The following is an 11474-nucleotide window of genomic DNA, read 5'->3' on the forward strand; positions in this document are numbered from 1 at the left end:
AGTCCACCCAACAACTCTGTGATGGTTTTTGCCTACTCCCCTTTCACAGGTGAGGAGAGACAAGTGGACAGGAGAGTGGGGGTCTATTTGCCAGGCATTCCAGGGGTGAGTTCCTGCTGGGCCTGGACGGTGGGTGGAGGGGAGTGAGGGTGGGTGTGAGTGAGGGACTGATTCTGAAATTTGGCGCTCATTCTGGAAGCAACAGGAGGCCATTATCGCTTCGTTCTGCTAGCACCATAATTAAGCACAGGCCTTCTTTCCCCAGATTTGGGTTTTGTCCATCTCATATTTCTCCATAGAATCTAGCATCAAGCTATGCAGCAGTAGCACTGAATGAGTACTGAGTGAATTCATGATGTAGCCCCAGTGATGTTTCAAATGCAGTCCTGACCCTGCCAACACCTGCTCAGAACCCTCCCTCTGCTTCTCAGGGCCCCTAGGGTGGAGTCCAAGCACCTTCCCCAGCCTGCAGGTCCCACAGCAGCCCGTGTCCTGCCTGGGTTAAAATCCCAGCTCTGCCACTTACTAGCCATGTGACGAGTGGCATCTCTGTGCCCCATTTCCTCACCTTTGTGGAGAGAACAGGAGAATCTTACTTTAGGATTAAATAAGAGAATGCATAGAGGACATTGTTCCTGGCACAGGAGTGTTGCTCGCTATTAGTACTTTCTCCACCACTGTAACCTCACCAAGGGGACCCTGTGTGAATAAGTCACCATAAGAAAGTGACCGTAACCACCACGGACACACCCTGCACAGAGTCAGCTGCAGCCCTCTCAGGGTGTGGGCCCCATGGAGGGCAACAGGTGCAAAGATAATGATTATCACCCTGGTAATCAGAAAAAAACAACAAAACTCTTTGCATTTTAGGAAAAAAAAAAAGAAAGTGATCTCACTTAAAACTGGGCTTGTTTCAGTTTATCTGAAACCTTTTCATATTTTCAGTTTTAATAAGATGTGACGGAAGCTGACATTTTTGCAAGCACCAAGAACTCGCGTCACTTTGAAAACTTGCAAGTTGATTTGAAGAAGCACCAAGAGGTAGCCAAGACTCGCTCTGCTCACAGATGGTGGGTGATTAGGTGCCAGTTTGCCGAAAAGCTTGGAATTGGCAGACGGTGGAGGGCAGCCGGCTGAGCTGCCCGTGGGCAGGCAGGATGGGCTGCCTGGCAGGAGGGTCTTGAGGCCTCGGCCATACCCCACCTGGCCCAGGTGAGGGCTGCCAGGCCCAGAAGGCGATCTGAGCCTGGGCACAGCTTAACCTCTTCCAGGGGCTTATGTCCAGGGCAAGACTGGCTCCAGGGACTGGGAAATGTTGTGTGGCCTTGGCTCATGCAGATTCTAAAGCTCAGGCTGGGACCCATTTTTGTGACCACCTACCTGTGTGGCCTTGGGTGAGTCATTAACTCTCTGGGTCCAAGTCTCAGCATTGGGAGAAAATGAAATGAATATTTCTGTGAGGCAGCGAGAACCCCAATCTCTTAGGGTTACTGTAAGAAATAAGATCATACTGGAGAACCCTTTTTAAAGATAAAATCTAGCTAGTTAATTATCCAAATTGGGTAACATGGGGGTGCAAGGGTATATGGGGAAAATGAGGAATTTATAACTAATTATTAAATGTTTAAATGTATTTTTACTTATTATTACTATTATTATTTTTAAGAGACAGGGTATTGGTCTGTTGTCCAGGCTGGAGTGCAGTGACATGATCATAGCTCATTGTAACTTCAAACTCCTAAGCTCAAGCGATACTCTTGCCTCAGCCTCCTGAGTATCTGATCTACAGGTGTGCACCATCAGGCCCAGATAATTTTTTTTTAATATTGTTTTTTGTAGAGTCAGGGTCTCACTATGTTGCCCAGGCCGGTCTTGAACTTTTGGCTTCAAGAGATCCTCCTGTCTCAGCCTCCCAAAGTACTGGGATTACAGGCATGAACCACCGTACCTGACCTAGTTATTGAATTTATTAACCATGCCTATATTCAGTTATTCTGGGTGTGACCTGATCAAAAAGCTGAAGCTGCAAAGATGAACACCCCCGAGGAGTTTTGAGACCTTTCCTCAAATATAGCTGGGGGAGGGGTGATGGAGGGGCTCAGAGAAGAGGAAATGATTCCTTTGTCCAGGAGCAGAGAATGCAGACAGGCAACGTGAGAGAGCACCTGGCAGAGGGGAGGGCTGAAACAAGCCAGGGCCTGAATGGAAACGGGCCCCTGGGCCATTCAGGTGGCTGCAGCCTGAGGGAGGTCCGAGGCTGGGCAGGGGAGCACACATACCGAGTTAGGATATCCCGGGCCATTTGCTGCATTCCAGTTGTTTCAGTGTGGCGCGCAGTTGAGTTGTCCTAGCAGGAAATGCGTGGCTCTCTCGTGCCCTTCTTTGTGTCCAGGGCCTGAGCTTCTCCTCTGGGCCCTCCCTGAGGGCTAAAGGTGGCTCAGAGATGGTGTCTCTCCTCCTGAGAAGCTTGAGTGGATGAGGAGGGAGGCTGTTTCCTCTCCTGAGTAAGTCCTGGCTCCCCGAAGTGGCAATGCCAAGTGCCAGCCCCGCAGTGCCGGGCAGTGGGAGATGCATGGACAGGCCCTAGGGCTCAGTCTCCCCTCTTGACGCTCCGGTACCCTGCTCAGCACACGGTTCCTAATCCCTTAATAAACCTCTCCTTATCCTGCACCCCAGGAAGGCTTCAGGTTCATGGCAATGCAGAAATAATGATTTGCCTGTATTCACTGATATGATTGAACTAACAATAAGTTCACCCTTTCTGCAAGTCAGGAACTTGGGTCTGGAACGGAGCCGGTCTCCAGTTGCAGGACAGATACCTTTCTGAGTGTAGCCAGGAGGTCTGTGTGAGGAGGGGGTTTTTGGTCCCTGTGTGGGTCTTCCTCGGACACCCCCATCCCTGAAGGGAACCTACACCCTTCCAGGTGTGAAGTAATGAAAGACCAGTAGTCATTCAGCTCTAGCTGCAAATGCCTGCTCTCTCACCTCTAAGCTGTGTATCCTCGGGCAAGTCACCTGGCCTCTCTGTGCTTTCTGAGACTGTCCACTCATGCCGCTATCAAAGGGGTGAGAGAACTGAGATTAAACTAGGGGAGGAGGCCGGGCATGGTGGCTCACACCTGTAATCCCAGCACTTTGGGAGGCCGGGGCAGATGGATCACCTGAGGTCAGGTGTTTAAGAGCAGCGTGGCCAACATGGGGAAACCCCGTCTCTACTAAAAATACAAAAATTAGCCAGGTGTGGTGGCAGATGTCTGTAGTCCCAGCTCCTCGGGAGGCTGAAGCAGGAGAATCACTTGAACCTGGGAGGTGGAGGTTGCGTGAGCCAAGATCATGCCACTGCGCTGCAGCCTGGGTGACAGAGGGAGACTCTGTCTCAGGAAAAAAAAAAAAAACAAAAAAAACGAGGGGAGGTGCTGCTGGAAGTGCAGGGCCTAGAACAGAGGATTACTTGGAAAATTTTTGTTGACTCTGAATCCTAAGACACTCTTCCACCTGGGAATGAGAATAGATAGATCAATGAGAAGCGTGGGTTATTGGCCGATCAGAAGTGCCAGCTGTAGACGTTGGTTCATCCACATCAGGGTGAAAATGAAAATGCACTCTTGTCCCTTTCCCCTCTTTTTAAAAAGTTTCCCTACAACCCTCCATAACTGTGGTGGAAAGAGTATACAGCGAGGACGTAGGGACATTTAGCTAGAAGCATCCCAACCAGCCTCCTGCCTGATAATAACAACAAGAGCTAACATTTATGATTGTTATAATAAACACTAACATTGGTTATGGCTGGGTACTGTGTAAGGTGTTCTCCCAGCAGCACCCCATCCATGCTCACACCAATCCCCTGACCTGCGCCCTGGATTCATCCCTATCTGGCATAGAACGGAACTTTCTAGGAAACAGAGCTTGCCTGGCCACATCAGCTCAGTAAATGGCAGAGTTGAGACACAAACCCAGGCTGCCTCCCCCAAAACCCAAACCCACCAAATTAGATTGTCTTCCAAATGCAGAAATCCTCTCTGCAGCCCAACTTGGCCCAATTCTCTAGGTTTTGGGAGAAATACATTTCCTCTCTTCCCGTAGCCTAATTCGAAAACGAGGCATCTTTCACTTCACATTTCACAGCCGCAATTCTTTCTTGCACATAAAATCTATCCATCCCGCTGGCCCCCTTCCCTCTTCTGGGCACATTACAGGCTGTTGGCGTGTGTGTCTAAATAAACACCCATCAGCCTGGATCCTTGCAGGCTGATTCTAAACATTTGGCTCCGAAGGGTAGCACTGGGGGCTTGTAAACCCTTCACCTTTCTCCCAGCACACTTCAAACATTCCCCTTCTTGCATCTAGGAAAACCAGAGCGGTTGGTTTCTCTCTCTACTCTTACACAGAACTTTGTGAAAACCTCTGTTAGACTGAAATAACCTTCTTTATTTCTGTCTTGCTCCTCAAGCTGAGAGTGTTTCTAGGTCAGGGTGGAGGGCCTGACATTTACTGTCTCCTTGGTACTAGGCTCTGTGCCACACATTACACACCTTGATTTATTCTTTTTAACAGGACCACGTGAAGTATTAATGGTCCCCCTTCACAAGTGAGGAACAAGAGGCTGAAAGGAGAGGCACATTTTCTCAGATAACGTGGCCACTTTGAGGCAGAGCTGAGATTTCTGGCCCCCCCCTCACTGTGCTAGGGAGACCCTGTTCTATTTAGCCCCATCCGCCTGGAACCTCCAAAGGGCCTGGCACAGCTTTCCAGCAAATGTTTGTTGACTGACCAACTGACTGACTGAATAAAAGAATGAATGAGCAAGTGTCTAATTTCCAGAAGAACTGTGGAGTGGGAGCTGTAAAGTGGTCCAGGTGCCTTGCTTAGAAGCACAAACTAGGCTGGAAGAAAACTAGCTAATAGAGTTGCGGTCAGACATGGATTACACTTTTCCAAGCATTGGAATATGGCAATATTAATCATGTTTCTACAAATCGTCTTTTATTTCTTCTTCTTTTTTTTGAGACGGGGTCTCACTGGAGTGCAGTGGTGTGATCTTGGCTCACTGCAACCTCCGCCTCCTGGTTCAAGTGATCCTCCCGCTTTAGCCTCTTGAGTAGCTGGGATTACAGGTACATGCCACCACGCCTGGCTAATTTTTGTATTTTCTGTAGACATGATGTCTCACTATGTTGCCCAGGCTGGTCTCGAACTCCTGGACTCAAGCGATCCGCCCGCCTCAGCCTCTCAAAGTGCCGGGATTACAGGCATGAGCCACCACGCCCAGCCCACCTTTTGTTTCTTCTCATTCTGCATATGTGGAATTTGCTGCATCTGGTAAGTCAGGTCAACTACAGTTGACCCTTAGAGAAAACGGGTTTGAACTGCACAGGTCCACTTCTCTATGGATTTTCTCCCACCTCTGCCACCCCTGAGACAGCAAGACTACCCTTCCTCCTCCTCAGCCTACTCAACATGAAAGAGCAAGGCTGAAGCCCTTTATGATGATCTACTTCCACTTAATGAATAATACATAGATTTTCTCTTTCTTATGATTTTCTTAATAACTTTCTTTTCTCTAGCTTACTTTATTGTAAGAATACAGTTTATAGTACAACAAATAACATACGAAATATATGTTAATTGACTGTTTATATTATCAGCAAGGCTTCCAGTCAACAGTAGGCTATTAGTAGTTACGTTTTGGGGGAATCAAAAGTTATACAGATTGTTGACTGTGCATGGGGGGCGGGGTCAGCGCCCCTAACCCACATGTTTTTCGAGGGTCAACTGTACTTCATTTAGTCTGTTGACTGAGAGGAAGGCTTTGCACATTCTTTAAATTATTTAGAATCATTGTTCAACAAACATGCAGGTACAACAGATGCTGTGTGTGTACAGAATAGAGAGTGGCTAAATACTTTTTACCATGGTTTAATTTACAAACCTCATGGCTTGGACTTTTAAGATCAACATTTGGTTATCTGGCATGAATTGCTCCTAATTTTCCCTGGCTTTTCCCCTTTAGTAATGGTCTCCAAGAGGAGTTGCTATAATTTTCTTTCTTTCTTTTTTGCTTTTTTTGAAGACAGGGTCTCACTCTGTCACCCAGGCTGAAGTGCTGTGGCATGATCGTGGCTCACTGCAGCTTCAACTTCCCACACTCAAGTGATCCTCCTATCTCAGGCTCCCAGGTAGCTGGGACTACAGGCTTATACCACCACGCATGACTACTTTAATTTTTTTTTTTTTTTTTTTTTTTTTTTGGTAGAGACAGGTCTCACTAAGTTACTCAGCCTGGTCTCAAACTCCTGGCTTCAAGTGATCCTCCTGCCACAGCCTCCCAAAGTGCTAGGATTACAGGCATGAGCCACCTTGCCCAGCCACTAGAATTGTGATAGAAGAGAGCTTAAAGTTATCATCTGGGCTTCCTGTTTTAAAAACGAGGACATCCAGTTAAACGTGACTAGGAAATGGCAAATCTCAAACCAGAGTTCAGGTCTCCTATCACCCAGCCAGTGTTCTCTGCTTAAATGAAAACCAAGCAGATCAGCTTCACCATGCAACTGTGTACACTGCCGTCCTGCGTCCCCAAGGTTCCCCTCAGAAAACAGAGTTGATTTAAATGCATGCACTGATCATCAACCTGAGTCTTAAAAATGATGACATGGTTTGTTTCTATAATATCCCTCCTAAGAATTGACCCCAAGAAAATAATCAGAAATGTGGATAAAGATTTACGCACCAAGATGTTCATTACTGAATTATTTATAACAGAAAAAAAGAGAATGTAACCTAACAAAGAAACATCTATAGTATGGACTGTTAGTCTGCCATTAAAATAAAGTTCTGAAGACTATTTAATGACTTTAGAACTTATTCAGAATAAAATACTAAGTGAGGAATGTAGGACAAAAACACACGGTCATAGAACAATTGCAATAGTTAAAATATGCAATATACATAGAAAAAAGACTGGAAAGAAATATACCAAAATGTTAGCAGAGGCCATTCGTTCAGTGATCACACAGTGCATTTATGGATCACTGCTATATCTCAGACACTGAGCTCTTCACTGGAGTGGGTTCCCACCTTCCTGGGCCCTACTGTCTGGGGAAAGGATGGGCAAAGTGACATTATTTTTAAAATAATCATTAAGGCTGGGTGTGGTGGCTCATGCTTGTAATCCCGGCACTTTGGGAGGCCGGGGAGGGTGGATCACCCGAGGTCAGGAGTTCAAGACCAGCCTGGCCAACATGTGAAACCCTGCCTCTACTAAAATTACAAAAAATAGCTGGGCATGGTGGCAGATGCCTGTAATCCCAGCTACTTGGGAGGCTGAGGCTGGAGGATTGCTTGAGCCCAGGATGCAGAGGTTGCAGTGAGCCGAGATCGCATCACTGCACTGCAGCCTGGGCAACAGAATAAGACTCCGTCTCTAAAAAAATAAATAAATAAAATAAAATAATAAAAATAAAAATAATCATTAAAATAAACCTGTAATTACAAATCATGATCATTACTATTACGAAGGCTATTTCTAGAGGTTGGGATTATAGTTGAGTGTCATTTTTTTTGGTTTTGGTTTGTATTCTTTTATTTTTTTTCTTTTTATGTTCTTCCAATTTTTCTTCACATCTTAAATTTCTGACAGTGGGACTTTATTAGAAAAACAGAGGACTTTTAGAAACACACAAACACAAATGCCCAAGCACCTGCATGGCTTCCAGTGGCCCCACTGACGATGGAGCCTTGGAGCTCCTCAGAAGGAGCCTGGAGTGCCTGCGGAGGGGATGAAGCCCCCCCCCAACCCCACTGACAATGGAGCACTCGGAGCTCCTCAGAAGGAGCCTGGAGTGCCTGCGGAGGGAACGAAGCCCTGTCCCTGGAGCTTCATGACTGTCTGAATTTCCTTTGCTGCTGTAAAAATTCCTCAAACTTAGTGACTTAAAAGAGCAACATTTATTTTCTTACAGTTCTAGAGACCAGAACTGTAAGAAATTTTGTTCAAAATTGATGTCAGGCCGGGCACAGTGGCTCACGCCTGTAATACCAGCACTTCGGGAGGCCGAGGTGGGCGGATCACGAGGTCAGGAGATTGAGACCATCCTGGCTAACAAGGTGAAACCCCGTCTCCACTAAAAAATACAAAAAAAAAAGTAGCCGGGCATAGTGGCGGGCGCCTGTAGTCCCAGCTACTGGGGAGGCTGAGGCAGGAGAATGGCGTGAACCCGGGAGGTGGAGCTTGCAGTGAGCCGAGATGGAGCCACTGCACTCCAGCCTGGGCAACAGAGTGAGACTCCATCTCAAAAAAAAAAAAAAAAAATTGATGTCAGTGGGCTAAAGTCAAGGTGTTGATGGGGTCAGTTCCTTCTGAGGTTCTAGAGGAAAATCTGTTTCCTTGCCTTTTTCAGTTTCTGGTGGTCACCTGCAATCCTTGGCTCATGGCCTTTTCCTCAAATGCACCACGGCTTCCACCATCATGCGGCCTTTGACCCCCTCTCTCTCTCACAGCCAAGCCTCCCTCTTCATTTTAAAAGAACACTCATGATTATATTTAGGGCCTACCTGGATAATACAAGATCATCCCCATCTCAAGATCCTTAACTTAATCACACCTGCAAAGTGCCTTTTCCCGTAAGGTAACATACAGAGGTTCCAGGGCTGGGGACCTGGACATCTTTGGGGGCTATGATTCAGCCTTCCACAGTGTTTTGTCAAAAGTTTGCAGATTTACTGAATGCTAAACCTTGTTAGCCAATCCCAGAAAAGCTTTGCCTAATATGTGTGAGTTTTTTCCGTTTTGTTTTGTTTCTCTTGAGAAAAAAGAAAGAGTGGCATGTCTGAAAATTCATTTGTGCCATTAGCACTACTTACACCTTTGGTAACTCTCCACACACCCCACCAGGTCTACTCTGTTAAAGAATTTGCTTGGCAGTTTGTATCAAAAACAGGAGGGATGTCTGTATATGCAAATAAAAAGAGAGAGAGAGAGTAAGGGACAGAGACAGAGAGAGGGCGGGGGAGGATTATTGTAAGCTAATGCTTGCATTTCAAACATTCAGTCCAGTTAAAACGTTGACATCAAGCATTGTGTATGTTCCTGGGAGAGGGCTCTCTGAGTTGTGTATCTCATGGGTGTCATTGAATGTTATTGTTGCCTCGCTAAATATTCATGGATGAATATGTGGAATAAATTCTCTTGTAAGCTGACAGAGAGCAAGTAAGGCCTGTCCTTGAGTCTCTCATCTGCATCCTTATTTCTGAAAAACTGTCTATTTGGGCACGAGTGTGTGTGTGTGTGTGTGTGTGTGCATGCAAAAGTGCGGGCACTACGTGCTTGGTTAATTTAAGCAGAAGAATCCCATTTTCTTTTCTTTTCTTTCTTTTTTTTTGAGACGGAGTTTCGCTCTTGTTGCCCAGGCTGGAGTGCAATGGCACAATCTTGGCTCACTGCAACCTCCACCTCCCGGGTTCAAGCGATTCTCCTGATTCAGCCTCCCAAGTAGCTGGGATTACAGGCATGTGCCACCTTGCCTGGCTAATTTTCTACTTTTAGTAGAGACGGGGTTTCTCCATGTTGGTCAGGCTGGTCTCAAACTCCTAACCTCAGGTGATCAGCCCACCTCAGCCTCCCAGAGTGCTGGGATTGCAGGCGTGAGCCACTGCGTCCAGCCAAGAATCCCATTTTCAGAGTAGAAAAGATGGATCTCTCCAGTTTGGTGACCTCAAAGTGGGTGGTGTTTAAAGAAAGCAAGTATTGCTCATCGAATAGCTTTGATAAAACTGCTCCCTTTGCTCTCTTGTTTCAAACTTCAAAACCAGCCTCACTTTTTCTGTCTTTTTTGTTTTTTTGAGATGGAAGCTCACTCTGTTGCCCAGGCTGGAGTGCAGTGGTGTGACCCTGGCTCACTGCCTGCAACCTCCACCTCCCAGGTTCAAGTGATTCTCCTGCCTCAGCCTCCTAAGTAACTGGGATTATAGGTGTGTGCCATGATGCCCAGCTAATTTTGTATTTTTAGTAGAGACAAGGTTTCACCATGTTGGCAAGGTTGGTCTTGAACTCCTGACCTCAAGTGATCTGCCCGCCCCGGCCTCCCAAAGTGCTGAGATTACAGGCCTGAGCCACTGCGCCTGGCCAAAACCATCCTCTTTAGGGGTTATAGTTTGTTTGTTGAGAGGTGAGGTGGGTTCTAAGAGTTCCAAGAATGTACACACGCATGTGCACACTCACAGAGAAGAGCTTCTTTTGACTCAGAACAAAGTCTCTAGGGGTGGCCATGGGCCAGAGTGCTTCTGAGTGGAGAGAGAGAGAGAGTGGGGGTGGGGACACTGAGGACATTGAGTTACAGACCTATGAGACATAGAGGATGAGGGAGGAACGGTGATTCCTGGAGACTGCTTAGATGCTGCCTTCCTTAGGACACCTACTGTGACCCTGGGTCTTCTCCTCCACCAGGACTGGCCAGTTGCCCAGCCTTGGGGTTCCCACGCCATGCTGCATGGACACCCATGAGAGCAAACTATCCCCTGATGGTCTGAGGGCTCCTCAAGGGCAGGAACTCCCTTGCTGCTGTATCTCTAGCACCCCAGCCATGTGCCATGTACTTAGAAGGTACTGGTGGAAGACACTTGCCCTTGTTCACTCCATCCTCCATAGCCACAGAACTTTCAATGATGCCCACGGATGCTGAGAATGAGAACTGCATTTCTCTGCCTTCTTTGCAGTGAGGTGAGGCCAACTGCACCAGCAGGAATGGGAGGGAATCGATAGGATTAACTTCCACGTCCTGCCTTTTTAAGAGTAAACACACACCTTCCTCTGCCCCTGCAGGCTGGCTGGAATTTGGGCATGACAGAGAGCCCCCTTGAGCTGTGGAGCCAAGGGCAACGCACTAACAGGGCACAGCAACAAGATAGAGGGGGCCTGGCCCATGATGCTGTGAGGCTGCCGCCCAGCCCTGCACTGTTTGCCCCAGCTGTTTACCTGGGGAGATAATTACGGTTCTATCTAGGCAAGGATTTGGTATCTTGGGTCTCTGCTTCAGCAGTCCAAGCTAAACACTATACAATGCTCAGAATGTTTGCTCATTCACAGATGATAACAGGCTCAGAGCCTTCCCTCAATATCCCCAGCCAAGACTCTTCATGTCTCCTTGTTATAGGAAAGGGGTCCCGATCCAGACCTCAAGAGAGGGTTCTTGGATCTCATGCAAGAAAGAATTCAGGGCCAGTCTGCAGAGCAAAGTGAAAGCAAGTTAACGTAAAGGAATAAAAGAATGGCTACTCCATAGACAGAGCAGCGCTGAGGGTGGCTGGTTGCCCATTTTTATAGTTATGTATTGATGATATGCTAAACAAGGGGTGGATTATTCATGCCTCCCCTTTTTAGACCATATAAGGTAACTTCCTGACGTTGCCATGGCATCTGTAAACTGTCATGGTGCTGGTGGGAGTGTAGCAGTGAGGACGACCAGAGGTCACTCTCGTCA

At 47.1% G+C, this 11474-nt stretch overlaps 1 annotated feature.

Annotated features, from left to right (window-relative positions):
* Nucleotides 839-898: an enhancer, noted in NCBI's record as "active region_8991". NCBI's record gives its function as "activates an Ori minimal core promoter by ATAC-STARR-seq in GM12878 lymphoblastoid cells {active_cell/tissue: GM12878}" and the evidence as "EXISTENCE:reporter gene assay evidence [ECO:0000049][PMID:35858748]".

The sequence above is a fragment of the Homo sapiens genome, chromosome 14 (genome assembly GCF_000001405.40).
Source record: "Homo sapiens chromosome 14, GRCh38.p14 Primary Assembly".
NCBI classification, from domain to species: Eukaryota; Metazoa; Chordata; class Mammalia; order Primates; family Hominidae; genus Homo; species Homo sapiens.